The 26395-nt window shown below is 49.3% G+C and overlaps 1 protein-coding gene across 2 annotated transcripts in view, besides 19 other annotated features; it reads right to left on the bottom strand.

Moving 5' to 3' along the window:
- The window catches only part of IFNGR2 (interferon gamma receptor 2), a 34635-nt gene extending 22011 nt beyond the window's left edge, over nucleotides 1-12624 (bottom strand). The window contains exons 1-3 of one of the 2 annotated variants that reach the window (NM_001329128.2): nucleotides 11890-12624; nucleotides 4614-4670; nucleotides 486-618 (exon numbers count right to left, since the gene is read on the bottom strand). In NM_001329128.2, the coding sequence (NP_001316057.1) occupies nucleotides 486-618; nucleotides 4614-4670; nucleotides 11890-11962 (263 nt within the window). In that variant the 5' untranslated portion in view covers nucleotides 11963-12624. The remainder of the gene's footprint in view (nucleotides 1-485; nucleotides 619-4613; nucleotides 4671-11889) is intronic. The other variant, NM_005534.4, reaches the window with a different exon arrangement.
- Nucleotides 2249-2417: a silencer, noted in NCBI's record as "fragment chr21:34785395-34785563 (GRCh37/hg19 assembly coordinates)". NCBI's record gives its function as "represses an EF-1alpha promoter that drives an FKBP-Casp9 reporter gene in an ReSE screen in HepG2 liver carcinoma cells {active_cell/tissue: HepG2}" and the evidence as "EXISTENCE:reporter gene assay evidence [ECO:0000049][PMID:32094911]".
- Nucleotides 2551-3305: an enhancer, noted in NCBI's record as "H3K4me1 hESC enhancer chr21:34784507-34785261 (GRCh37/hg19 assembly coordinates)". NCBI's record gives its function as "activates a minimal SCP1, AML or CMV promoter by ChIP-STARR-seq in naive H9 embryonic stem cells {active_cell/tissue: H9 hESC(naive)}" and the evidence as "EXISTENCE:reporter gene assay evidence [ECO:0000049][PMID:30033119]".
- Nucleotides 10360-11523: a transcriptional cis regulatory region, noted in NCBI's record as "chr21:34776289-34777452 region (GRCh37/hg19 assembly coordinates) targeted for CRISPR interference". NCBI's record gives its function as "positively regulates IFNGR2 gene expression in GM12878 lymphoblastoid cells {active_cell/tissue: GM12878}" and the evidence as "EXISTENCE:mutant phenotype evidence [ECO:0000015][PMID:33828297]".
- Nucleotides 10994-11494: a transcriptional cis regulatory region, noted in NCBI's record as "chr21:34776318-34776818 region (GRCh37/hg19 assembly coordinates) targeted for CRISPR interference". NCBI's record gives its function as "positively regulates IFNGR2 gene expression in THP-1 monocytic cells {active_cell/tissue: THP-1}" and the evidence as "EXISTENCE:mutant phenotype evidence [ECO:0000015][PMID:33828297]".
- Nucleotides 11525-11574: a silencer, noted in NCBI's record as "silent region_13259". NCBI's record gives its function as "represses an Ori minimal core promoter by ATAC-STARR-seq in GM12878 lymphoblastoid cells {active_cell/tissue: GM12878}" and the evidence as "EXISTENCE:reporter gene assay evidence [ECO:0000049][PMID:35858748]".
- Nucleotides 11715-11764: a silencer, noted in NCBI's record as "silent region_13258". NCBI's record gives its function as "represses an Ori minimal core promoter by ATAC-STARR-seq in GM12878 lymphoblastoid cells {active_cell/tissue: GM12878}" and the evidence as "EXISTENCE:reporter gene assay evidence [ECO:0000049][PMID:35858748]".
- Nucleotides 11785-11864: a silencer, noted in NCBI's record as "silent region_13257". NCBI's record gives its function as "represses an Ori minimal core promoter by ATAC-STARR-seq in GM12878 lymphoblastoid cells {active_cell/tissue: GM12878}" and the evidence as "EXISTENCE:reporter gene assay evidence [ECO:0000049][PMID:35858748]".
- Nucleotides 11875-12414: a silencer, noted in NCBI's record as "silent region_13256". NCBI's record gives its function as "represses an Ori minimal core promoter by ATAC-STARR-seq in GM12878 lymphoblastoid cells {active_cell/tissue: GM12878}" and the evidence as "EXISTENCE:reporter gene assay evidence [ECO:0000049][PMID:35858748]".
- Nucleotides 11875-13548: a biological region, named in NCBI's record as "IFNGR2 promoter region". NCBI's record gives its function as "regulatory_interactions: IFNGR2".
- Nucleotides 11968-13135: a promoter, noted in NCBI's record as "-1172 to -6 fragment used in the reporter gene construct, where the GRCh38 reference assembly represents the ATT haplotype". NCBI's record gives its function as "drives IFNGR2 transcription with higher activity for the ATC haplotype than for the CCC and ATT haplotypes in transiently transfected Jurkat T cells {active_cell/tissue: Jurkat}" and the evidence as "EXISTENCE:reporter gene assay evidence [ECO:0000049][PMID:22057826]".
- Nucleotides 11969-12373: a promoter, noted in NCBI's record as "0.4 kb -411 to -7 fragment used in the reporter gene construct". NCBI's record gives its function as "drives IFNGR2 transcription with moderate activity in transiently transfected HEp2 endothelial cells {active_cell/tissue: HEp2}" and the evidence as "EXISTENCE:reporter gene assay evidence [ECO:0000049][PMID:8910544]".
- Nucleotides 11989-13145: a promoter, noted in NCBI's record as "1.2 kb -1182 to -27 fragment used in the reporter gene construct". NCBI's record gives its function as "drives IFNGR2 transcription with maximal activity in transiently transfected HEp2 endothelial cells {active_cell/tissue: HEp2}" and the evidence as "EXISTENCE:reporter gene assay evidence [ECO:0000049][PMID:8910544]".
- Nucleotide 12091: a transcriptional cis regulatory region, noted in NCBI's record as "rs17882748 SNP tested in combination with the rs8134145 and rs8126756 SNPs in reporter gene assays, where the GRCh38 reference assembly represents the ATT haplotype". NCBI's record gives its function as "influences IFNGR2 promoter activity in combination with the rs8134145 and rs8126756 SNPs, with higher activity for the ATC haplotype than for the CCC and ATT haplotypes in transiently transfected Jurkat T cells {active_cell/tissue: Jurkat}" and the evidence as "EXISTENCE:reporter gene assay evidence [ECO:0000049][PMID:22057826]".
- Nucleotides 12177-12197: a protein binding site, noted in NCBI's record as "NF-kB-binding probe". NCBI's record gives its function as "binds the NF-kB p50 and p65 subunits but not the c-Rel subunit in MonoMac6 monocytes, with enhanced binding upon Bryo-1 treatment {active_cell/tissue: MM6}" and the evidence as "EXISTENCE:protein binding evidence [ECO:0000024][PMID:16888033]".
- Nucleotides 12361-12976: a transcriptional cis regulatory region, noted in NCBI's record as "chr21:34774836-34775451 region (GRCh37/hg19 assembly coordinates) targeted for CRISPR interference". NCBI's record gives its function as "positively regulates IFNGR2 gene expression in GM12878 lymphoblastoid cells {active_cell/tissue: GM12878}" and the evidence as "EXISTENCE:mutant phenotype evidence [ECO:0000015][PMID:33828297]".
- Nucleotides 12361-13548: a transcriptional cis regulatory region, noted in NCBI's record as "chr21:34774264-34775451 region (GRCh37/hg19 assembly coordinates) targeted for CRISPR interference". NCBI's record gives its function as "negatively regulates IFNGR2 gene expression in THP-1 monocytic cells {active_cell/tissue: THP-1}" and the evidence as "EXISTENCE:mutant phenotype evidence [ECO:0000015][PMID:33828297]".
- Nucleotide 12368: a transcriptional cis regulatory region, noted in NCBI's record as "rs8126756 SNP tested in combination with the rs8134145 and rs17882748 SNPs in reporter gene assays, where the GRCh38 reference assembly represents the ATT haplotype". NCBI's record gives its function as "influences IFNGR2 promoter activity in combination with the rs8134145 and rs17882748 SNPs, with higher activity for the ATC haplotype than for the CCC and ATT haplotypes in transiently transfected Jurkat T cells {active_cell/tissue: Jurkat}" and the evidence as "EXISTENCE:reporter gene assay evidence [ECO:0000049][PMID:22057826]".
- Nucleotide 12378: a transcriptional cis regulatory region, noted in NCBI's record as "rs8134145 SNP tested in combination with the rs8126756 and rs17882748 SNPs in reporter gene assays, where the GRCh38 reference assembly represents the ATT haplotype". NCBI's record gives its function as "influences IFNGR2 promoter activity in combination with the rs8126756 and rs17882748 SNPs, with higher activity for the ATC haplotype than for the CCC and ATT haplotypes in transiently transfected Jurkat T cells {active_cell/tissue: Jurkat}" and the evidence as "EXISTENCE:reporter gene assay evidence [ECO:0000049][PMID:22057826]".
- Nucleotides 12507-13145: a promoter, noted in NCBI's record as "0.6 kb -1182 to -545 fragment used in the reporter gene construct". NCBI's record gives its function as "drives IFNGR2 transcription with moderate activity in transiently transfected HEp2 endothelial cells {active_cell/tissue: HEp2}" and the evidence as "EXISTENCE:reporter gene assay evidence [ECO:0000049][PMID:8910544]".

Below are 26395 nucleotides of genomic sequence, written 5' to 3'. Positions count from 1 at the left end.
AGAGGCAAGAGACAGATGAAAGAGCCAGGATAATATGCAAAATGGAAAACCAGTTGAGAAACTCAGAATTCATTGTAATTAACCAAACAAATTTCTGATCAGGCCATATTTGGTCTATAAGGTTAAATCAATCCGATTTTTAAGCCCGAAGATGAAGACTAAAAGCTGCCTCCTGTTCTTCCATGGTGGAAGCCTATTTTTACAACCTTTCTCCTGAAACCAGCGAAAGAATGAACTTTCCACCAAAGCAAGAACCCGTGTGGTTAGACAGCGGAGTCCTGACTGCCAGTGTAGTTTAAGCCTTCAGATGAGTGGGAGGCTGTGAAACCTCTGTCCTCAGAGATTTTACAAGCTCCAAGAACGATGTGTTTCCCACGGGTTTGATAACAAACCCTGCACAGAGGCAGGGACTAGTATGTGGCCCCAGGGTTCCGCACGATGCCCCCACAGCTCCCAGCAAGGATCCAACAGAAATACCGGCTTACTATTTAAACTGCACTTGGTAGACAACAGGCCTCGTGCTATTGCTCAGGGCCACTGGCTCCCAACTCAGGACCTGCTCTGCGTTGTACAGGCGAATCTTCGGGTGCTGAGGAGCGGGCAGCTGGGAAAGAGGGTCTTGAGGGGGACAGAGAAAAAGAAGAGGGAGGAAGGGAGGAGAGAGAGGGAAATAATTACAAAAATGTTTCAATGTCCATTATCTAAGTCATTCATACAACTCAGTTTTTGTCAAAGTGCAGAAATGGCATTACCAGGTCCCCCTGGGCATGGCCCCACACCCCCGACTTTTGGCTACAAAGATGGCCCTACTGGTACAGGCAGCACAAAAAGAAAAGAGGCGCCTGGGGCAGCCTTTCCACCTGCAGGTCCCAGTTGTTACGAACAGGTCCTGGGCCCTGGAGTCTGGCCGGACTGGGGTCCCAGTTCTACCATTAGTAACTGCATTAGGCTCGGGGCAGGTCACTTCACCTGTCTGAGCTTGAGTTTTCTTTTTCAGGAATAAGGGGTCAATAATGATACACCCACAGGGCTGTGGCGAAGATTAACGTGGTGATCATGTGACACGCGTTAGCTTCAGATTTAGTACCAAGGAAGTGTCTGGTAAATGTCCGCAAATACGTGCACACGTGCACACACTACACACGCAAAAACACACAAACATCCTAAATCAGGTACGCAAAGCCCAAGCTGCAGGGGAGGGCAAGGAACGCCGACTTCTGGGCACCATCAGAGTTGTCGTCTCTCAAGGACCCCCAGCATCGCAATCACAGGGGTGCTGGTTAAAGTGCAGGTCCTGAGGCCCCCAGGAAATCTGCATTTTAAACAAGCTTTCCAGCTGCTTCTCACACACATTAAAGTTAGAGGACAACACGGCCCGAGCTCAGTGGCTCACACCTATAATCCCAGCACTGTGGGAGGCCAAGGAAGGCAGATCACTCGAGGTCAGGAGTTTGAGACCAGTGTGGCCAACATGGCAAAACTCTGTCTCTACTAAAAATATAAAAGTTAGCCAGGTGCGGTGGTGAGCGCCTGTAATCCCAGCTACTCAGGAGGCTGAGGCAGGAGAATCGCTTGAACCCAGGAGGCAGAGGTTGCAGGGAGCTGAGATCGCACCATTGCACTCCAGTCTGGGCGACAGAGAGAGACTCTGTCTCCAAAAAAAAAAAAAAAAAAAAAAAGGTTAGGGGGCAATAAACAGAGAAAGAATATACTCCCCCGGAAACACCACCAATATCAGAATCCCTCTCTTTGGGGTGACCTGGAAGAAACAACCACAACCTCTCCCTTCCCCAAGCAGGTACTTCACAGGGAGCCTTCGGGGACCTAGAAGAAACTGCCACAACTCCTCCCTTTCCCAAGCAGGTACTTCACAGGGAGCCCTTTGTCTTAGAAAGAAAACATAATCAAGATAAGGCTTTTGACCAAAAAGATTAATAAGAAATGCCCAGAAGGTGGAAGAAAGGTTTGAAAAACATGCTGTTCCAAAATTCAAAGCAGGAAATTCAAGCCACACATTTTCGGTAAATGCGCTCAACCTCAAAGAGATCAGCTGACAGCCTGACCACTGGCTCTTCTTCTGAAAGATGAATTGCCAAGTCTGCGGCCATTTGTTTAGTTATAGGATGCCCCTCCCCTCCACACCTATGAGCTCTGGGTGACCTTCACCCAACCAGCTAACAACACTTCTCCTGACACACAGCAGGCCTCATGACATCCTGGGCCGAAGGCAGACAGGTAAAGCTGCGTGGCAAGAGGCAGGCCCACCAGGTGTGCTGTGGCTGCTATGACCTAGCAATGCCCAAAGCCAGTTGGGGACTGGATGCTTCCAGAGGGGGGTGGTGGCAGGTCAATGCTCCCTCACAGTCACACAGAGAGGCCTGCATGACAGTCACACAGACAGATCTGAATAGCATCCGAACTATGCAGAGAAATTTCCACAATGCTGCCTTCACATTAAGCTAATAATTAACCCCAGGGAAACTGACGCCCAGACATCAAAGCCAGAAATGAAACACAGATCCTACACAGGCTTCTTCCAAACCTGGAGCAAGTCAAGATAACAGAGGCAGCTGTTTGAATAGATTTATTGGAGAGTCTAAGGCAGCTCTCCGGACCAAACTGTAAATGAGACAAGATAGAAATAAACTCCTGGCCGGGCACAGTGGCTCATGCCTGAAATCCCAGCACTTTGGGACGCTGAGGTGGTGGATCACCTGAGGTCAGGAGTTCGAGGCCAGCCTGGCCAACATGGTGAAACCCTGTCTCTACTAAAAATAGAAAAATTAGCCAGGCATGGTGGCACACACCTGTAGTCCCAGCGACCTGGGAGGCTGAGGCAGGAGAATCGCTTGAACCCGGGAGGCGGAGGTTGCAGCAAGCCAAGATTGCACCACTGCGCTCCAGCCTGGGCGACAGAGCGGCACTCCGTCTCAAAAATAAATAAATAAATAAATGCTCTGGTACCACAGTCCTCATTAAATAGAATTTAGGAGACAGGCCTTGACGGTATCGGGGACCTCACAGCTTGATTAGACTTAGAAAGCACATTTTTGGCCTCTGACTTTCTAGTTGAAACAAAATTAGTTACTCATAGACTTAGTGCAATACCACACATAGGCACATAACCCAAACCTATGTAAGCACAAAGAAAATCAAACACTTTGAGTTGGTCTGGTCGGATTATCTCCGACCTTCCTGTTACAGCAATAAATTCTCTTTCTTCCTAGTTTGTCTGCTTCTTGTTATTGGGCCATGAGAAAACGCAGCTGGACCCGGCTCTTTCCAGGAACAGGGTGAGTGTCTGCTTAGGGTTGGGCATTCAAAGAATCTGACAACTCCTTTTATTTCCTGTATTAGGTTCTTCTTATCACTGTAACACATTATCACTAACCTAGTGACTCCACACAACCCAGATTTAGCTGGGCGTGGTGGTGCGCACCTGTAGTCCCAGCTGCTCAAGGGGCTGAGGCGGGAGGATCACTGGAGCCCAGGAGTTCGAGGCTGTAGTGCATGTGCTATGATCATGCCTGTGAATAATCATTGCACTCTAGCCTGGCCAACATAGCGAGATCCCCCCATCTCTAAAAATAAATAAATTTTAAAAAATCACATCTAAATTTATTTTCTTATAGTTCTGCTGGTCAGAAGTTTAAAGTCAGTCTCACTGACTAAAGTCAAGTTATCAGCAGGGCTGGGGTCCTTCTCGAGCCTCCAGGGAGAATCCATTTCCTTGCCTTTCCCAGCTTCTAGAGGCCACTCCCATTCTTTGGCTCAGGGCACCTTCCTCCAGCAAGGTTGGCCGCATCCTTCTTGTCTCCCTGGTACTGAACCTTCTGCCTCTGCTCCATCTTTTGGGGACCCTGTGGTGGTATAAGGCCACTTGGCCCAACAATGCAAGACAATCTCCCCACATCAGGGCTCTTAACTTACTCACATCTGCGGAGTCCCTTTTGTACGTCAGGCAGCACATTCCCAGGTTCACGGACTCTGAGGATGAGGGCGTGGACATCTTTGGGGACCATTATTCCGCCCTCCACACGCCTGTTCACCATCTCCCATCTCTGGGGAGGAACCAACAGGAATAGTCTCTTCTTCCCGACTTCCCTTTCCGGGCACCTCTAGTTCCCCAGTCTAAGCATTCAGTTCAGAAAGGAAGCACCAAGGGGCTCCGGGGTGGGTGGCGAGGGGACAAGGAAGGGCTTCCACCCCAAGCGACGCGTGGAACAGCAAAAGGGCATCACTGTATAAGTCGGGGTTCCCATGCCAGCCTTCCATTTCCTTCATTTTCCGTTTCACTGAGGTGTAAGAGATGGCCCAAGCAACATTGTTCTGCCTTATATCCGGGTTTCCTATCATCCCCTATCTTTTCACATTTATAGAAGAAAATCAGTCTCAGAACTGCAGACGCCACAGGGAAGTGCCAAGGATTGCACATCTGTGATAAGACTGTCCTTTTTGTAGGCCAGGGGGCCTGTCCTTGGGCAGCCCAGCCTCTGTGTTCCAGGCCACATGGCCCCCGATGGGAAACACCAGGGCTGGAAGGCTGGGGAGAAGGAGCAGTGGTTGTGAGATGCAGGTTTCATACAGGTTACACCCAGATACTCTTGTCTTACCATGAGTAGCTGCTGAATCATTGCACCATTCTTGGTAGGTCTCCAAAGTTAGCTGTGCTGAGCATAAATTTTAGATTATGAGTTATGAATTTTAAAAATACAACATGTAAAAAGTTATTCTAATTGGATGGGCGTGGTGGCTCACGCCTGTAATCCCAGCACTTAGGGAGGCTGAGGTGGGCGGATCACCTGAGTTTGGGAGTTTGAAACCAGCCTGGCCAACATGGTGAAACCCCGTCTCTACTAAAAATACAACAATTAGCCAGGCATAGTGGTGCACACCTGCATTTCCAGCTACTTGGGAGGCTGAAGCACAAGAATCATTTGAACCCGGCAGTGGAGGTTGCAATGAGCTGAGATCACGCCACTGCACTCCAGCTTGGGCGACAAGAGCGAGACTCTGTCTCAAAAAAAAAAAAATTGTTGTAGGCTGGCCGCAGTGGCTCACGCCTGTAATCTCAGCACTTTGGGAGGCCAAGGTGGGTGGATCATGAGGTCAGGAGTTCAAGACCAGCCTGGCCAAGATGGTGAAACCCCATCTTTACTAAAAATATAAAAATTAGCCAGGCATGGTGGTGGGTGCCTGTAATTCAAGCTACTTGGGAGGCTGAGCCAGAGAATTTACTTGAACCTGGGAGGTGGAGGCTGCAGTGAGCCGAGATTGCACCACTGCACTCCAGCTTGGGTGACAGAGAGAGACTCTGTCTCAAAAAAAAAAAAAAAAAATTATTGTAATTAAGACAATGAACTTGCTGAACCTTCTTGCCTCTTGAGAACCTCCTGTATAATACATCTGTAATATATCTGTAACTGCTTTTAATAAACTTAAACTTCCCCGAAGGCAAGGAACTTACTGGTATGTTCGCCCATAAAATGGACCCTGCTACCAACAAAAAAAAATGAAGCTTATTGAACTGGACTAATGCGTTAATGGTCGAACCCCAAATCTTACAATACATTAGAGAGGGAATTCCTGAGAGGGAATTCTTTAAAGAAGGAAATACACGTGCTTATAGAGGGCATTTTGGCTCAACTGTCAAAATTTCATTTTCAAAACCTCACTTAGGAAACCAAGGGACATGTGTGAGAGCAAGAGGAAAAAATAACGACACATTTTCACATATAAGCATGACCTGAGCACTCTCCCTAGGCAGAGTCTCAAGCGCCATACCTAATTCAGAAATCAGCCATTTAATCAAACTTCTGTAACCATCTGAGTGCATACTGTCTAGTTCTTTACAGAAAAACTTTGCCGATTCCTGGCATGGAGGGTAGAGTTCAGACTTGAGTAAGCTGAAAATCCTTCAAGATCTTATCCCAGACCAATCACCACCACTCGCTAAAATACCATAAACTCTATCCTATTTTATTTTGGACCTACATAATTTTGCATATTGCTTTTTCTTTTTTTCTTTTGAGACAGAGTCTCACTCTGTCCCCCAGGCTGGAGTGCAGTGTCGCAGTGGCGTGATCTCGGCTTACTGCAACCTCCACCTCCCAGGTTCAAGCAATTCTCCTGCCTCAGCCTCCCGAGTAGCTGGGATTACAGGCACCTGCTACCACGCCTGGCTATTTTTTTGTGCTTTTAGGAGAGACGAGGTTTCACCATTATTAGCCAGGATGGTCTTGATCTCCTGACCTCCTGATCTGCCTGCCTTGGCCTCCCACAGTGCTGGGATTACAGGTGTGAGCCACTGAGCCCGGCCTCTTTTTTTTTTGAGACAGTCTTGTTCTGTCACCCAGGCTAGAGTGTAGTGGCACGATCTAGGCTCACTGTAACCTCCACTTCCTGGGTTCAAGCGATTCTCCTGCCTCAGCCTCCTGAGTAGCTGGGATTACAGGCACCCGCCACTGTGCCCAGCTAATTTTTGTATTTTTAGTAGAGACAGCGTTTCACCATCTTGGCCAGGCTGGTCTCGAACTCCTGACCTAGTGATCCACCTGCCTCGGCCTCCCAAAGTGCTGGGATTACAGGCGTGAGCCACCACACCTGGCCTTTTCTTCTTTTCTTTAATCTGAAACTCCATGCTTCAAAACCCAGCTCAGTTTGTTCTTCCTCTATTGGACTTTCTTCAACTCTTCCTGGCAAGTAGTGTCCTATAACATTTAAAAATATTTCTATTCTAGCACTTTTGAAAAATCATGGCACATAGTGTATGTGTATCTATTATAGTACACATGGTAATACAGACATTCTGACAAGGTCTCTAAGTAGACTATTCTCTACATTCATTGTCTTAATCATTTTTATACACTCAGGGCCAAACACTAGGACCATTTAACAACCAGTGAAGAGGTGAATGAACAACTCTGCCTTCCTGACCCATCCCAACACCTTTGATCTACCTATCCCAGATCCAGGCATTTCAGACTTTATGCATATTTAGGAATAGGAGGGGCTGGGTGCGGTGGCTCATGCCTGTAATCCCAGCACTTTGGGAGGTTGAGGCAGGCAGATCACTTAAGGTCAGGAGTTCGAGACCAGCCTGACCAACGTGGTGAAACCCTGTCTCTACTAAAAATACAAAAATTAGCCAGGTGCGGTGGTGCATACTGTAATCACAGTTACTTGGGAGGCTGAGGCAGGAGAATCACTTGAACCCGGGAGGTGGAGGTTGCAGTGAGTCAAGACCATGCCACTGCACTCCAGCTGGGCAACAAGAGCAAAACTCCATATCAAACAAACAAACAAAAAGAATAGGAGGATATCCTGGGTCTTAACAGCATAGTTTGATTAACACTTATCACACACAGATAATAAAATAAAATATAATTAACATTAATCATTTAATCTTGATAATTAAGGACTGACCCTTTAGGATCTTTCTATTGGGGGCGGGGACATTATGATGAAAGTCAATTAGGTGAACATCATTGATCCCACCTCCATCACCTTGCAGATGAGAAATAAAAAGGCATTTTCTGATTCCTCAGCCATAACCAGGAAATTGTTCTCTTCAAGAAATACTAGGCCAGGCATGGTAGCTCATGCCTGTAATCCCAACACTTTGGGAGGCTGAGGCTGGCGGGGGTTGGCGGGGGGGGGTGCGGTGGGGATCACTTGAGGTCAGGAGTTCGAGACCAGCCTAGCCAACGTGGTGAAACCCCGTCCCTACTAAAAATATAAAAATTAGCAAAGCATGGTGGCAGGTGCCTATAGTCCCAGCTACTTGGGAGGCTGAGACAGGAGAATCGCTTGAACCTGGGAGATAGAGGTTGCAGTGAGCCGAGATAGCGCCACTGCATTCCCACCTGGGCATCAGGGCGAGACTCCGTCTCAAAAACAACAACAACAACTGGACATCAAGTTATTGACCTAGATTATTTGGCTCTTCCTATCAAGAAAGGTTTGACTTTCCAGGAAGTAAACTAGAGATATAACCTAGTTCGAAAGAATGGCTGAGAAAATTAAGAGAGGTAATGTATATAAAGCACTTGGCATCTCGTCTGACCAATAAATGTTACTATCATGATCGTTTATAAAGGTGGCAAAAGCATTCCAGCTACATGATATTTTCACTTGCTGAGATTATGAACACTCAGGAGCTTACCCAGTGGACATTCACATGCAATGGTTTTTAAGTTGCTGGGGACTTACTGTCTTTCTCGGTGGTCTCTAAGCATATGAGAAGCTCTGGCTGTTCAAGTCAGCAAATAATGATAAAAAATTCTGTGGCACAGTACATATCCAATCCCCTGAAAAAGTCAGCAGCACCTGCTACAATTACAAATAGAAGCCTTAATTCCTCAACACTCAGGTAACTAACTGGTCAGTTGATTTACTGCACTTGTGCTGTTGGTTACATTTTTCTATCTAGCGCAAACGGCCACTACTTAACAGCTCATGGCTACAAATTGCCACAGGTCCCATATTTTACATATTCTACTCTTACAGAACTCTAAGGGATAGATACTATGTCTCCCTTTAAAAAATCTGTTTCCGGAGCCAGGCTGGGTGGTTCACATCTATAATCCTAGCACTTTGGGAGGCTGAGGCGGGTGGATCTCTTGACCCCAGGAGTTCAAAACCAGCCTGGGAAACACGGTGAAACCTCATCTCTACAAAAAAATACAAAAATTAGCCAGGTATGATGGCGTGCACGTGTAGTCCCAGCTACTCAGGAGGCTGAGGTGGGAGGATGGCTTGAGCCCAAGAGGTTGAGACTGCAGTGAGCTGTGATCATGCCACTGCACTGCAGCCTGGGCGATGGAGAGAGATACTATCTCAAAAAAAAAAAAAAAAAGTTTCCAACACTTTTTTTTTTCTCTGACCATAAAAGCAATTTCAAAATTACACCGGTAAGTTATGGGAAAGTGTGAAAACCTTTCTACCACCCATTTGCCATATAATCATTGTGAATATTTTCACTTTGTGTTTTGACTAAAAGAGTGTTTCTTTTGAAGATATCCATTAGGTTTGTTTTTAAGCTGTTTAATGTGAAAATGTTCAAATAGTTGCAAAATAGAGATTAGTTTAAAGCACTACACTACTTTTCTTTTCTTTTTTTTTCTTTTTTTGAGACAGAGTCTTGCTCTGTCACCCAGGCTGGAGTGCAGTTGCATGATTTCGGCTCACTGCAACCTCCCCTCCCAGGTTCAAGTGATTCTCCTGCCTCAGCCTCCCAGGTAGCTGGGATTACAGGCGCCAACCACCACGCCCGGGTAATTTTCGTAGTTTTAGTAAAGAAGGGGTTTTTAACATGTTGGCCACACTGGTCTCTGGAACTTCTGACCTCAGGTGATCTGCTCACCTCTGCCTCCCAAAGTAATGGGATTACAGGCATGAGCCACCGTGCCCAGCTGCTACTACTTTTCAAAGGATCAATGGAGCCAGTTTTTTTATTTGTTTGTTTTTGTTTTTTTGAGATAGAGTCTTGCTCTTGTCGCCCAGGCTGGAGTGCAGTGGTGTGATCTCAGCTTACTGCACCTCTGCCTCCTGAGTTTAAGTGATTCTTCGGCTTCAGCCTCCTGAGTAGCTGGGACACAGGTGTGTACCATCACGCCCCCTAATTTTTGTATTTTTGGTAGAGACGGGGTTTCATCATTGTTGACCAGCCTGGTCTTGAACTCCTGACCTCAGGTGATCCGCCCGCCTCAGCCTCCCAAAGTGCTGGGATTACAGGTGTGAGCCACCGAGCCTGGCCTCACTTTTTAAAATTTTTTTATTTTGCAACATATCACATAGACCAAAACTTTTGTAGAATACAATTAAAGTTAATCATTAACAAGATGGACAGGTAGCTGGATGTTGTGGCAATGTCAGACTATAGTTTCTAAATACATCTTTCAACCTCTGGACTCATCACAGGTAAGTCACAAACAGTCCACAGATCACCACTAGTCACTCCTCTCTGGCATGAAGTCACTCGCCTGCTGATCCCACACTAGGACAATCATCAACTCTCATTAGGAGGAGGCCTAGGGAGGAGGCATATGCAGATTGCTCAAGACGTGAAGCCAAGTGGAAGCAGAGTCAGGATTTGAACCCATCTGTCTGACTCCCATGGAAAAGCAGTTAATAATTTCCTCAAGTGCAAGGCACCCCAGATCAAGGAGATACGGAACTTATGGGCCTTTGCAAGGAATGCCGGTAGAAAAAACAAACCCACAACACAAGGTTATAGCTTCGAATGGGAAGAATCTTCTAAATTCTCGAGACTCCTATGATATCACTCTCCCCAGGGGAAAGAACCCAGCAAAACAAAAGCAGATACATACACAAGAATGTTCTAGCCACACATTTGTCATTAAGGTCTTTTCCTCTTTTTCTTTTTTTTTTTTTTTTTTTTCTGAGACAGAGTCTTGCTCTGTCGCCCAGGCGGGAGTGCAGTGGTGAGATCTCAGCTCTCGGGTTCAAGTGATTCTCCCGCCTCGGCCTCCTGAGTAGTTGGGATTACAGGCGGGCGCTACCACGCCCAGCTATGTATTTTTAGCACAGACGGGGGTTTCACCATGTTGGTCAAGCTGGTCTCGAACTCCTGACCTCATGATGCTGCCTCAGCCTCCCAAAGTGCTGGGATTACAGGCGTGAGCCACCAAGCCTGGGTTTCTTTTGGTTTTTATGTTTGGCTCATAAGCGTGGTCAGCTGGTGTCAGAGGTTAAGGAGGCCGCCAGGTAAGAAGCTCTCTGGGTAGGGACAGAACCGGTTTTAAAAGCCTGGCTCAGCTGGGCACGGTGCCTCAAGCCTGTAATCCCAGCGCTTTCAGAGGCCAAGGCGGGTGGATTGCTGGAGCTCAGGAGTACAAGAACAGCCTGGGCAACACAGTGAGACCTCCTCTCTACAAAAAATACAAAAATTGGCCAGGCGTGGCCAATAATACCACCTTCTTGGGAGGCTGACGTGGGAGGATCGCTTGAGCACGGGAGGCGGAGGCTGCAGTAGCTGAGATGCTGCCCACTGCACTCCAGCCTGGGCGACAGAGCGACACCCTGTCTCAAACAACAATAAAATAAATAAATGCCTGGCTCAGTTGACACTCTTCCTCTTCCGCCCCAACACTGATGGGACCCGGACAGTTCTGAGCCCTGCCTGAATGCTGCTGCCCCATCTCTATGACCGCGGGAACTGTCTAGATTTCACACCCAGTGTCAAACATGCCCTCGGCCAAAGTCGGAATTGAGTCTGGGTCACCCGTCCAAGACGCTGGTCCCTGCTCCACCGCTGCTACTACAAAGGGACTGAGTCTAGCTTCCAGCCAGGCCTTCGGGAGGCACTCCAGGCGGGGACTAAGCGCAGTCTCGCCAGGCTGCAGAACCAGTGGCCAGCAAAGGCGGCCCCCGCCGGAGCCCTGGATTCAATTTGCTGTTGTTCATTCCGAGAAATTCGGAGACTGGGGCCACGCTGGCTTTCCCGGCGCGGGCGCGCGGGTGGGGGAGGTGGCGCAGCCGAGGTTACCGGCTTCACGGAGGGGCACCGAGTGTCCTCTCCCGGAGAGGGGTGTCCCGGCGGCCAGGACGCCAGGAGGGGTGCCCCCCGTCTTCCTGCTGCTGCCCAGCTCCTGTCTGGAACTCCTGGCCGCCCATCCCAGCCCCGCTGCGGGCTCCCAGCGGGCCCCTCTAGCCCTGGGCACCCCGCAAGACCCCCACCTGGGGCACCCGCAGGTTCCCACCTGATCTGAGCACTCCGCATATCCCACCCACCAGGAGCACCCCGCAGATTCCCACCCACTCTGAGCACCCGGCAGATTCCCCCCACCCCACGATCCGGGAGTCCCCCAGCCCCCACATGCTGCGGCTGCGCCCGCGTCCCGCCGCGGAGGCCCAGGCCCGGCTCACCTGGCGGGGCCGCGGCGGCGGCGGCGAAGACTCCGAGCAGCAGCAGCAGCGACCACAGCAGCGTCGGTCGCATGGCCCCGGGCGCTCGGCGGCGGCTCAGGTCGCGGCCGGGGCCCCGCTCGGGGTCCGCGGAGCCGCTCACGTCGCCGCCCAAACCGCCATGGCGAGCGCAGGGCGCGCAGGGCCCGCCTCTTCCCGAGCAGCAGCGGGGCGTCCCGGTGGAGGGGATTCGGCTCGGCCGCCCGCGCCCCCGCCCCCGCCCCGTCCCGCCCCCGAGGCCACCGCCCCCGCGCGGGACTTTCCCGCTCCGGGAACCGCGGCCCTGGGGGGCCTCTGCGGCTGCAGCGCGGGGACCCCACGCAGCCGGCCTCCCAGAGCGCGGAGCCTCCCGGAACGTCCTGGAGACTGGAGCCCCGCGGGACGCCCACCTTCGGGGGCCGCGATCCTTCCGGAAGGGCCCCGCGAGACCCCGGCCCAGACCCCCGGGCTTTCCCTGGAGCCCCCACCCCTCCTGACCCCCCCCAACTCTCCTCTCGGGTGCTTGATCGCACAATTCGAGGATTCGCCCCTTTAGTCGAAATGTTTGCTTTAATAGCCCCCAAAGTACATATTAAGCTTTCAACTCTCCCCCGCCCCCCTCCCCTTTTTTTTGAGACGGAGTCACCAGGCTGGAGTGCAGTGGGGCGATCTCGGCTCACTGCAACCTCCGCCTCCAGTCAACCCCATTTTGAAAAGGGTTTTAAGGGGAAGGAGTTAGAAAGGGCCCAGTGAAGGAGGAGGTGGGGCTCTGGGGGTGGGGGGAATGGCCTCCGAGCAGGGGGAGGGAGAGACAGAAACTTCCAGCATTTCTAAATGGCGTGGGGTTTGCCCTGGAGCCGGCGGCGGTGCACGAGTAGGAAGTCCTTTAGCAGCTGGGCAGCCGCAGGCCCGCTCCCCAGCCCGAGCCTGCACCATGTCGTTTGACGCCTGTTGGGAGAGGGTTTTAAATCTGCCCTGTTCTTCCAAGATGCGTCATAAAGCTAGCGCAGCAAAGGAGGGACGCGGTGCAGGGAGACCAAGAATTTAAAAACAGGTCGTCCCGGGAGCCCACTGGACACGTTAGCAAAAATGGGTTTTGCAACATAGAGCTTTTCTTTTGCTCTTCCCACATTCTTGCATTTCCTCTTTGTAGAACTATTTTGAAATTGGCCACGCTCGTGAAAATACGTGATGAAATACCTCGCAGACAATTGAATTATGCATTGGATATTTCTAGATACAGAGATGTATTTATATGTTACACGAAAAAAGCGGGCGATAACTTGGAATCACTTCAAAAAGTATGCACTGATGCCAGGCGCGGTGGCTCACGCCTGTAATCTCAGCACTTTAGGAGGCCGAGGTGGGCGGATCACATGAGGCCAGGAGTTGGAGACCAGCCTGGCCAATATGGCTGAAACCCGTCTCTACTAAAAATACAAAAATTAGTCAGGCGTGGTGGCCGGCGCCTGTAATCCCAGCTACTTGGAGGGCTAAGACAGGAGAATCACTTGAACCCGGGAGGCGGAGGTTGTAGTGAGCGGAGATTGCGCCACTGCACCCCGGCCTGGGTGACAGACCGAGACTCCGTCTCAAAAAAAAAAAAAAAAAAAAAAAAAAAAAAAAAAAAAAAAGGCACTGAAAATGACAGGATTGCAAGAAGGATTCTGTTTTCAAACAAATAAATAAAATTACAAGAAAACGACTGGGTGAAAGATGCCAACATTCTAACAAGAAATCGGTTACAGGATCACACAAGTGTCATCCGCCTCAGGGGATGTAACCGAATGCTGGTTCAGTCGCTGGCTGCTTGCAGAGTCTAACAAGAGCAAGATGTGGTGGAAAGAAAGTGACTTTATTTCCAAAGCTAGCAAGGGGAAGTGGTTGGATTCCTATCCCCAAAGCAATCACGTTGAATTGTGGGGTATGGGGAGTGGGAAAGGCAAGGGTTATTTATTTTATTTATTTATTTATTTATTTATTTATTTATTTATTTATTTATTTGAGACAGAGTCTCCGTCACCCAGGCTGGAGTGCAGTGGTGTGATCTCCGCTCACTGCAAGCTCCGCCTTCTGGGTTCACACCATTCTCCTGCCTCAGCCTCCCGAGTAGCTGGGACTGCAGGCGCACGCCACCACACCCGGCTAATTTTTTGTGTTTTTTGTAGAGATGGGTTTTCACCGTGTTAGCCAGGTTGGTCTCGATCTCCTGACCTCGTGATCTGCCTGCCTCGGCCTCCCAAAGTGCTGGGATTACAGGCGTGAGCCACCGCGCCCGGCCAAGGCAAGGGTTTAAAACGGGAAAACGATGTGGAAGTCAGGCAAGGATTATGCTAAGTACACTGTCTGTTTGTCTTGTTCCGGTGGCTGTCTTGGGTCCTAGTCCACAGGAAGCCTGTGGTCTGGCATCATCTCAACAATGGCTGGATTCTTAATTAGACGCCTTGAGGTCACATGTGGAATTTTGCAGAAGAATCTCCAGGCTTGGTCTGTCTGTCTCAAGATTAGCGTCTGGAACCTCTAAGAAGGCACGTAACTAGACACGGGCATACAGTTAGATAAATGTGAAGGGAGTTTATACGGTGAAGAAGGGAGGGACATGGAGTCCATTTTAAGGCTAAGGGAAAAGGCTTCTGCAGTTTGTTTCAAGGTTACATCTTTGATGGCTGGGTGCGGTGGCTCACGCCTCTAATCCCAGCGCTTTGGGAGGCTGAGCCAGGTGGATCACCTGAGATCAGGAGTTCAAGACCAGCCTGGCCAACATGGTGAAACTCGTCTCTACTAAAAATACAAAAATTAGCCAGGCGTGGTGGCATGTGCCTGTAATCCCTGCTACTTGGGAGGCTGAGACAGGAGAATCACATGAACCCAGGAGGTGGAGGTTGCCGTGAGCTGAGATCATGCTGCTGCACTCTAGCCTGAGCCACAGAGCAAGACTCTGTCTCAAAAAAAAAAAAAAAATTGTAACCTGTATATCATTCTAAAGAAATACTTTTGGCCAGATGTGGTGGCTCACACCTGTAATTCCAGCACTTTGGGAGGCCGAGGTGGGTGGATCACCTGAGGTCAGGAGTTCAAGACCAGCCTGGCCAACATGGTGAAACCCCATCTCTACTAAAAATAGAAAAATTAGCCAGGCATAGTGGCAGGTGCCTGTAATCCCAGCTACTTGGGAGGCTGAGGCATGACAATTGCTTGAACCTGGGAGATGGAGGTTGCAGTGAGCTGAGACAGCACCACTGCACTCCAGCCTGAGTGCAGAGTAAGGCTCCATCTCAAAAAAAAAAAAAAAAGAAAAGAAAAAGAAATACTTTTGTGCCTAATTTTATAGTGAGTTGTGTATTTGTTTATAAAGAGGGCTCCATCTATTATATACACTTCAGCCCTACAAACCCTGAATCTGCACCATCCCTTTCCATTAATTCCTTACCTTGTAATCAGTTGATCTTCCTGAAGCATTTCTAATAGCCTAGAGGGACTCCTCTCACCTCCCTCAGGAGAGTGGGTGGGGGATGGCAGAAAGAAGCCAACATTTTTTGCTGGCCAGTGGTGCTTCTCTAGGTATTATAACACTCAGACCTCCCAGTTAGGCAGGCGATGGCTGTCCCATGGGGACACTAGCAGAGTTCAGTGACTTGGCCTGTGGTGGGTTTGCACTGCAGTAGGTCTGCTAAACTGTAACTGCATTTCCTAGAATTCCCCTCCCTGAAAAGTTCTGAGGTAACATGGGCAGGGAAGGATGTTTGTGTGTGTCTTGGTCCATTTTCTGTTGCTTATAACAGAATATCTGAAGCTGGGTAATTGATAAAGAAAAGGCATTTATTTCTTACATTTTGGGAGGCTGAGAAGTCCAAGGTCTAGGGACTAAATCTGGTGAGGGCCTTCTTGCTGGTGGAGATTCTCTGCAGAGTCATGAGGTGGTCAGGGCATCACATGGCAAGGGGGGCTGAGGGTGCTAAGGTGCTCGGATTTATCTTCCTCTTTTTTTTTTTTTTCTTTTGAGATGGAGTATCACTCTGTTGCCTAGGCTGGAGTGCAATGGTGCAATCTTGGCTCACTGCAACCTCTGCCTCCTGGGTTCAAGCAATTTTCCTGCCTCAGCCTCCCAAGTAGCTGGGATTACAGGCACCTGCCACCACACCCGGCTAATTTTTGTATTTTTAGTAGAGTTGGTGTTTCACCTGTTGCCCTGGTCTTGAACTACTGACCTCAAGTGATCCACCTGCCTCGGCCTCCCAAAGTGTTGGGATTACAGGAGTGAGCCACCATGCCCATCCCCTCTTTTATAAAGCCACCAGCCCCACTCCCATGATAACCATTGGTCCATGAACCCATTAGTCCATGAATGAATCCACCCATCCATGAGGGCAGGATCACCATAACCAATCACCTCTGAAAGGCCTCATTCCTCCATACTGCCATATTGGGAATCAAATTTCCAGCACGTGAAATTTGGGGACACATTCAAACCCTAGCAATGTGCGAGACTTGGAAGATGGAAGGAAAGGTGCAGCCATATTCCTTTACCCTTGGGAGGCTGGGGCAGGGCACAAGGCATCCATCTTTGCAGCTCCCGACCTGTGGCTTCTCTGCTGATGTCCTAGATGGCAGGGATGCAGACAGGCTCCAGGCTCCTCCAGCTCCCCGTGGATCTCATGTGGTCGTGTAAGCTGGAGGTGTGGAGATGGAGAGCAGGGTGAGGAGGGTGGCAGCTGAGCCTTAGATTTCAGCTTGTCCCTGCTTCCTCCATCTCTTGTCCACCTTCTCTTCCCGGCCTCCTGCCCTGAGGACTTCAGGCTCCAGCACCGGACAGGGGAAAATTGTCTCTCCTGGACTGTGCACACATCTCTCATGTTTATGTGAGGTCAAATCTCTGTAATATAACAACACACACACACACACACACACACACACACGCACACACACACACACACACATCACATCACATGATGGTTTTGCTTGTTGGATCAAAATCTGGCTGAGCATGCCCCAAATCACACAGCCAATGAGTGGCAGTGTGGGCTCCTAGCCAGGCCTGTCTAGTGCCAAAGCCCCCTGCATTTCACAGCAAACTTCTCATCATGCTGTTCAGTTTTCTCGTAATGAGACCCAGCTCTGTGCCCAGTCAAGCGCTCCACAGCTCCCCATGACCCGGCTATTCCATCAGTGAGTCTTTGAAATTGTACTTCGTGAAGGTCACATGTGCCCTACTTGTCTGCCTCTTCCTCTGCTGTTCACCCCACCTGTTTGCGCCTCTCCCTGCCTTCATCTACAACGCCTCCCCCAACCCCCACTCCTGCCATACCCACAGTCCAAATTCTACAACTTCTGGACTCCATTTCCTGAGAACTCTGTTGCCTTCTCTGACTACCATCTTCCACTGTTTGCTGCCATTTTGTGTCATCGTTGGTGTCCGTGGGGATTGACATAGCCAAAGGCAGGGCCGCTGACACCTGTGAGTGGGTAGGTGAGTGTCTTCCCTGGATTCAACAGAGCTGTAAGAGGTCCGAGCTCAAAGTAGGCCTTGATCATTACCAAGTGGGGCCCTGATATGTGACTTGGTGCCCCCTTGTTTCAAGAAATTCCAGGATCAAGGTCAGAGGAATTGGCATGTTAGCGAAAGGATGAATTCCCTTAGGTCTCCGGTGATGGGCTGGGTTTTTCTTGCTGTTTGTCATGGGCCACAGCCCCCTCCTTTCACCAGCCTACACTTGTTGCATTTCTACTTCCCCAGTGGGGCCATCATAAAACATCATTCCAGTAATGCCAAGTCTTCTCTAGTCTTTTGCCTCCTGTCTGGGACCCTCACAAGAGTAACTATTACACATACAGCATTCTATATTTAATTCCTCCTGAAAACAGGGAATGAATGATATCCTGATTTTTTTTTTTTTTTTTGAGACAGAGTCTTGCTCTGTCACCCAGGCTGGAGTGCAGTGGCACAATCTCGGCTCATTACAACCTCCGCCTCCTAGATTCAAGTGATTCTCGTGTCTCAGCTTCCCGAGTAGCTGGGATTACAGGCGCCCACCACCATGCCTGGCTAATTTTTGTATTTTTAGTAGAGACGGGGTTTCACCATGTTGGCCAAACTGGTCTTGAACCCTTAGCCTCATGTGATGTGCCCGCCTCAGCCTCCCAAAGTGCTGGGATTACAGGCGTGAGCCACTGCGCCCGGCCGATATCCTGAAATTTGTCAGGGAGAAGAGACAACAGGCAGAGAAAAGAAAATCTTCCAGTTCCTTTTTAACTCCTTGAAAAACAGGAGACTCCTACACTTTTTAAGTATACGAAGCTTTAATATTCCTGACTTTGGTATGTAGGAAAAGCACCCACAACCCCAGGGCCACAGCCCAGGGCCTGGGAAGCTGCCAGTAATAACTAGAAGGCCCAGGCCTGAGATTTTTTTTTTCATGAGTTCTCAGGACAGGACTTGTGTAACGAATCCTCTTGGGTTTTGTAATTCAGAAAAACTCAAACCAATCCCCATTTCCTGGAAGGATTAAGAGCCTATCATTTTTTCTGTGTGTTTAAATTTGCTCGCCGACTGGGTGCGGTGGCTCACTCCTGTAATCCCAGTGCTTTGAGAGGCTGAGGCAGGAAGAATCCCTTAAGCCCAGGAGTTGGAGACCAGCCTGGGCAACACAGCAAGACCTCGTCTCTACAAAAAATTTTTAAAAATAAAAATTAGCTGGGAATGGTGGCCTATGCCTATAATCCCAGCTGCTCAGGAGGCTGATATGGGAGGATTGCTTGAGCCGAAGAGTTCAAAGCTGCAGTGAGCTATGGTCGCTCCGCTGTACTTTAGCCTGGGTGATAGAGCAGACTCTGTCTCAATAATAATAATAATAATTTTGCACTCTGGGATCCTGCAGACTTCCAGGAAAAACCTGGCAGCTTGGGCATGAGTAGGAGCAGTTTATTAACCAAGGGCTCATGCTAGGTAGCAGCTGCTGGAAGGCAGTGGTCCACAACCTTTTTGGCACCAGGGACCAGTTTCGTGGAAGACAATTTTTCCAAGGACCAGGCGGGGGGTGGGGGGCGGGGGAGCAGAGAGGAATGGTTTCGGGATGATTCAAACACATTCCATTTATTGTGCACTTTATTTCTATAATTATTACTTTATAATATATAATGAAATAATTATACAACTCACCATAATGTAGAATCAGTGGGAGCCCTGAGCTTGTTTTCCTGGAACTAGGCGGTCCCTTCTGGGGGTGATGGGAGACAGTGACAGATCATCTGTCACTAGATTCTAATGAGGAGTGTGTGACCTAGATCCCCTGCGTGTGCAGTTCACAATAGGGTTCACGCTCCTATGAGAAGCTAGTGCCTCTGCTGATCTGACAGGAGGCAGAGCTCAGGGGCGAGCAATGGGGAGCGGCTGTAAACACAGATGAAGCTTTGCTTGTAGCTCAACCCTGTTCATGAGCAGTGGTTGGGGACCCCTTCTGTAAGCCACAGCCAGGAGGAGGCCCATGGGGCATCTGATGAGTCACTACAAGGCTGTGGGCAAACTGGGAGCTATGCCCATATCCTCTAATAAGAAGAGGTACCATTTATTGACCTCCTGCCCTGTGCTGTATATATCGCTCTGCCAACCCTCATAACACATCTATGAGGTAAGGGTAATGGCCATTTATCTTGATTTCTGACTGTCCAGAATCTTTGGAACGCTCTTGCTGTACTGGGAGGATTTTCAGTCTTGTGAGTATTTACTGCTTCCAGAAAATTCAAATTCCCAACCTCCCTTGCAGCCATGCTTTCCAGCCTGTGTCAACCCCACCTTCTGTGGGAGCCTCCTTCCGCTATACACCTTCACTGGACCCAGAATCATGCACGATTTCACCTGAAAGAATCACCTGGAGCTCCCTACACACCCCCAACTCCTTGACAATTTTTCATGAGGGACATCAGTTCCATATAACCCAAAGAATCTAATGTCACATATTCTGAAAGTGAAAAACAGTTGTTATTCTTACTCTCTTTCTTTGCAAACATACATATGAATACCCTTTCAGATACTCTTTACCTTGTTTATTGTGACTCTCTTTGCTTTCAAAAAATACATTTGAATCTTTTTTCCAAACATGTATTTTGATTTGATTACTGTTACTTTTCGGGTTTGGAAAGTGTGTACTTGAACCTCTTGTAAATCTTGTATTCTCTGAGTTTGTTCACCTTCAAGAGCATGACTTCCTCGTGTGTGTGTGTGTGTATGCATGTGTATACGTGTCTTGGGAAGGGCTTGGTCTTTGGCTATGCCAATATGTAAAAAAAGAGCCCATAGGCCGAGCGCAGTGGCTCACACCTGTAATCCCAGCACTTTGGAGGGCCGAGGCAGTGGATCTCACGAGTTTGAGACCAGCTGGCTAACACGGTGAAACTCTGTCTCTATTAAAAGTACAAAAATTAGTCGGGTGTGGTGGTCCATGCCTGTAATCCTAGCTACTCGGGAGGCTGTGGGAGGATTGCTTGAAGCCGTGAGGCAGAGGTTGCAGAATCATGCCACTGCACTCCAGCCTGAGCAACAGAGCGAGACTCTGTCTCAAAATACATAAATTAAATAAATAAATACATAATTTTTTTAAAAGAGCCCATAAAACAGAGATGTGAGAAACAGAAGTGAAGATGTCACCGGCTTCTGCCTGATGGGTGCTCATTTTATGTAGATTGTTAAGGAAATAGCAACAGTCACTATCTCAAAAACACCTGTGCTGGGCCGGGCAAGGTGGCTCACGCCTGTAATCCCAGCACTTTGGGAGGCCCAGGCGGGCTGATCACGAGGTCAGGAGATCGAGACCATCTTGGCTATCACGGTGAAACCCGTCTGTACTAAATATACAAAAAATTAGCCGGGCGCGGTGGCGGGCGCCTGTAGTCCCAGCTACTCAGGAGGCTGAGGCAGGAGAATGGCGTGAACCCGGGAGGCGGAGGTTGCAGTGAGCCGAGATAGCGCCACTGCAGTCCAGCCTGGGCGACAAAGCAAGACTCCGTTTCAAAAAAAAAAAAAAAACACCTGTGCTTGCCTTGCCACAGCAGAACCACACCGTAGGAATCAGTCTCAGTGAATCCAGTCCCGGTTTTGCAACCATACAGAAGTTGCCAGTCAGCGTTTCTGGTGACAGAACCACATTGCCACACTGAAGGGGTGCAATACTAGCCACAAATGAAGAAACTCGATGTTTTCACTTTCTTAGGAAGCCTGCCTGGGAGCACATGGGTGGCTTCCAAGGGGTTTTGAAATGCTGGGGCCACACTAAGGGACTTCACCCTTCCATGTAGGACTCTCAAGATGCAGGGAACCAGGCTGAGGATGCCCAGCTCAGAGATGGGTGGGCCAGTCTCTTTTGCCAGTGCACCCCATGGAGGTCTGGCCGGGCCCCCAGTTCTTGGAAGCTGGATTCGTTTCCTATGGCTGCGGTAATGCATCCCCCCAAACTTAGTGGCTTAAAACAAAAATTCATTCTCTTATAGTTTTAGAGGTCAGAAATCCCAAATGGGGCTGGGTGCTCATGCCTGTAATCCCAGCACTTTGGGAGGCTGCGATGAGAGGATCACTTGAGTCTAGGAGTTGAGAACAGCCTGGGCAACACAGCAAGACTCTGTCTCTACAAAAAATAAAACATTAGCCAGGCGTGGTGGTGGGCACCTGTAGAGGACTACTCAAGAGGCTGAGTTGGGAGGATCACTTGAGCCCAGGAGTTTGAGGCTGCAGTGAGCTATGATTGCACCACTGCATTCCAGCCTGGGTGACAGAGTGAGACCCTGTCTATAAAAAAGGAAGGGACATCAGTTCCATATAACCCAAAGCCTGGGTAACAGAATGAGACCCTATCTATAAAAAAGAATAGGAAAAGAAAGGGAGGGTGGTGGTGCATGCCTGTAGTCCCAGCTACTAGGGAGCCTGAGATAGGAGGATCTCTTGAATCCAGGAGGCAGAGATTGCAGTGAGCCGAGATGGTGCCACTGCACTGCAGCCTGGGCAACAGAGTGAGACTTTGTTTCAAAAAAAAAAAAAAAAAAGGAAGGAAGAAAGAGAGAAACCCAAAATGGATTGGCAAGGCTGTGGTCCTTCCAGAGGCTCTGGGGAGAATCAGTTCCTTGCCCTTTGCAGCTTCTAGTAAGGCTGCCACATTCCTTTTTTCTTTTTTTGAGACGGAGTCTCACTCTGTTCTCCTGGCTGCAGTGCAATGGTGTGATCTGGGGTCACTGCAAACTCCGCCTCCTGGGTTCAAGCGATTCTCGTGCCTCAGCCCCCTGAGTAGCTGGGATTAGAGGCACATGCCACCAGGCCTGGCTATTTTTTTTTTTTTTTTTTTTGTATTTTTAGTAGAGATGGGGTTTTGCCATTTTGGCCAGGCTGGTCTTGAACTCCTGACCTCAGGTGATACGCCCGCCTTGGCCCCCCAAAGTGCTGGGATTACAGGCGTGCGCCACTGCGCCCGGCTGCATTCCTTAACTCATGCTCCCTGCTTCCATCTTCAAGCCATCTTCAAACCACCCTAATCTCTGCTTCCATCCCCACCCCTCCTCCACGGACCCTCCTGCCTGCCTCTTCCCCATGCAAGGACTGTTGTGATGACATTGGGCTCACCCAATAATCTAGGATCATCTTTCCGTCTCGAGACCCTTCGCTTAGTCACATCTGCCAACTCCCCTTTATCATGGAAGGTAACATATTCGCAAATGTTGGGGGTTAGGTTGTGGACATCTCTGGGGGTCATTATTCAGCCTACCATAGGGGCTACACAGAATGACACTGGACAGATAGGTGGCAGCTCTCAGCGTCTGGACCTTGGACTCTTTGCCCCACTTCCATTTTGGCCTGTCCCCTTCACCCCTGCCCAGCGTGAGTGCGTGTGCATACACACACACACACACACACACACACCCCCAACCCCCCCTCCCAACACACACCCAGAGCCTGGCAGCCCTAGGCTGCCACCACGCCAGCATTCCCCTCCTCTCAAAATCTGCCGGCCTGTGGCCCTTATAGGGCTACATTTCCTGGGGCTGGTTCTTGTCCTTTTCTTGTTAAATTCAGTGTAGTGTTCAATTAGCTTAGGCAAAGCCTGCCTTCAGCTAAGGAGGAGGTAGAGAGATTAAAATTGCTTTCCGGGGCTGGGATTCAGGGCAAGTGAGGGTGGAAGGGAGTTGCTGCGCTTCTTGAATAATCTATCCAAATCCATTTATGGACAAGACTACAATTTTCTGGTTGTGAAAAGGTAACAGTGGGGACCTGGCCTGGGCAGTGTGGACAGTTAGTTCTACAGGAGGGAGGGAGAGGTTACTGGGACAGCAGGGTTCTTTATTTAACTCCTTCCTCTCCACAAGCAGTTCTTTCTGGGAACACATTCCCCTCGCAGAGGCTCATGCCAGGACTAAAGCTTCCAGGGCAAGCTGGTGTGTGGTCTAAGGATCCAAGTCTTCTGGGGGCCAGGCGTGGTGGCTCATACCTGTAATCCCAGCACTTTGGGAGGCCAAGATGGGCGGCTCACTTGAGGTCAGGAGTTCGAGACCAGCCTGGCCAATATGGTGAAACCCTGTCTCTACTAAAAATACAAAAACTAGCCAGGCATGGTGGTGGGCACCTGTAATCCCAGCTACTCGGTAGGCTGGGGCAGGAGAATCGATTGAATCCAGGAGGCGGAGGTTGCAGCGAGCTGAGATCGTGCCACTGCACACCAGCTTGGGCAACAGAGTGACACTCCATCTCAAAAAAAAAAAAGAAAAAAAAGAGAAGGGCAGTTTACAGGCACACACGTTTTGCTTTCAGTCTGACTTCTGCTATGGACAATGGCTATTTTTGCTTTTGTTAGGATTTGTACCTCTGTGGGGGCCCTTAGTATATGGACTAACTTAAAATGAAATTTTAATTGAGTTGGAACTTGTAAACTTAAATACACAAGTTTTTTGTTTGTTTGTTTGTTTTTGCTTTTAAAGACAGGATCTCTGTTGCCCAGGCCAGAGTGCAGTGGCACAATCATATTTCACCGCAGCCTGGAACTCCTGGGGTCAAGCCATCCTCCTGTCTCAGCCTCGTGAGTAGCTGGGACTACGAATACGTGCCGCCACATGAGCTAATTTAAAAAAAAATTCTTTTAAAGATGGAGTCGTAGTATGTCGCCCAGGCTGGTCTCGAACTCCTGGCTTCACGTGATCCTCCCACTTCAGCCTCCCAAAGTGCTGGGATTACAGGCGTTAGCCACCACACCCAGCCCATAAATTTTTCTAACTTTTTTGTTGCTGTTGTCTTTATAATAGTAGTACTTGGGCCAGGCGTGGTGGCTCACGCCTGTAGTCCCAGCACTTTGGGAGGCTGAGGTGGGCAGATCACTTGAGGTCAGGAGCTCAAGACCAGCCTGGCCAACACAGTGAAACCCCGTCTCTACTAAAAATACAAAAATTAGCTGGGCATGGTGGCACACACCTGTAATCCCAGTTACTCAGGAAGCTGAGACAGGAGAATCACTTGAACCTAGGGTGGAGGTTGCAGTGAGCCAAGATGGCGCCACTGCACTCCAGCCTGGGTGACAGAGCGAGACTCCGTCTCAGGAAAAAATAAAACAAAAAGTAGTACTTGTTCATTGTCAAGGAACTATAAAATACAGAAAAGTATAAAGAAGAAAAAACAATTCCTCCATAATCTTACAATACAGAAATGGCCAAAATTCATATCCTGAAACTCCTCAATTTTTAAGCACCAGCAAAACGGCCAGAAGGCAGCATTATTTCACCCTTTCTGAGAAGTGTGTAGAAACCACACACAGGACAGGAGAGGAAGGAACCTTTTGCTTCTCCTGTGTTTCCAGATTGTATGAAAATCAGGTTGCCTATAGTTTCAGGACATTCTCTACAGGTACAGTCTTGACTTTGCAAAGCCCTGAACACGTCTTGACCAGTGATAAGAGGAGATGCCGAATGCCTCACATTCACTGTCAGCAGCCCTCAAGCTTCAGCCTTCCTTGGCCAGCTCCCGGGTATAGTGACTTCCCAGTACAGTCATGGGCACTGGGCGTAAGCCATTATGTAGAGATTATGCTACATTTTGTGAGTGTTAAATACATCGTTAATGTAATGTCCTTTCTTTTGCAGAATCTTAAACTATTGTCACTGTGAACTTTCTTTTTATCTTGGAAACCTCAAACATCATAGTGTGTGACTTCTAGTGTATCCATACAAAACAGATCCAAGCAAAGCAAACACGAATTCATGTGGGTACCTTTGTGGATGAGGGCAAGAACACAGACAGCCTAGGGGCGGTGGAGCATGTTCAGAAAGGACGCGGTGGTCTGGAATATGGTGCCTTCTCTCCCTTCCTCCCTCCTTCCCTCCCTCGCTTCTTTCATGTATTTAGCACATATTTACTTACTGAGCATCTACTCTGTGCTAGGCACTGTTCTGAGAACAACAGATAAAAACTCTGAGCTTGTGGAGCTTATGTTTTAGTGGCAGCGACAGAGAATGCCCGGTCAATCACTGAACACAGCATCTAGTATCTGGAACCATGGTGATCGTGCAATGCAGAGGACCATGAGTGGACTGCAAGTTGCATTACATCCAGTCCCAGGCGATTCTCTTGGGGTCTGCAGTAGGAGAGTCTGTCAAATCCCCTCCTTTTCCTCTGTTCTGGCATTAGTGGTAGATCCCCAGGTGGCTGGACTCTCTGTGTGGGAGGTGGGGAGCCCCTGGCAGGAACTGGGGTGGCTCCTCTGGTTGTGCTAGACAAGCACCAATCCACAGAGCTTTTCAACATCCCCAAGGCACTTGGGGGGTGTCCACTGAGTGGCAGTTTCTTCTCATCTGTCAATGGGCTGCACCCCCAACTCACAGTCCCATGACCTCCCCTGGCTTGGGGGAGCCTCCACCCTGCCTGGGCCTCCCAGTTCACGCAGTGGGGAGGGCACCATTCCTCCCAGCACAGTCCAGTCCAACACCCAGGGACCTGGGCACATCCATACATGCCTCCTAACTCATTCCCCCAGGTAGCATAGGGGCATCTAGGCAAAGGAAGCTCCAGAACCCACTTTACTCAAGACCCAGGGACATTCCTGTTTTCCAAATGAACATCACTCACATTGCCTAGGAAACAGCCTCACCTCAAAAAACATTGGCTCAAATAAAGGCAACACTACCAGATATGATATTCTAATGCTGAAGCTTGGACTTATCCAAGTATCAAAAAGAGATTCAGCCAGGTGCGGTGGCTCACACCTGTAATCCAAGCACTTTGGGAGGCCGAGGCGGGAGGATTGCTTGAGCCCAGGAGTTCAAGACCAGCATGGATAATGTGGCAAAGCCCCATGTCTCAAAAAAAAAAAAAGAAAAAATTAGAGGCCAGGCACGGTGGCTCACGCCTGTAATCCCAGCGCTTTGGGAGGCCAAGGCGAGCGGATCACCTGAGGTCAGGAATTTGAGACCAGCCTGACCAACATGAAGAAACCCCATCTCTACTAAAAATACAAAATTAGCCAGGCGTGGT

This window comes from Homo sapiens, chromosome 21, assembly GCF_000001405.40.
Source record: "Homo sapiens chromosome 21, GRCh38.p14 Primary Assembly".
Taxonomy (NCBI): Eukaryota; Metazoa; Chordata; class Mammalia; order Primates; family Hominidae; genus Homo; species Homo sapiens.
The sequence above is the reverse complement of the archived record's forward strand: the minus strand, read 5'-3'. Positions and strand labels throughout refer to the sequence as shown.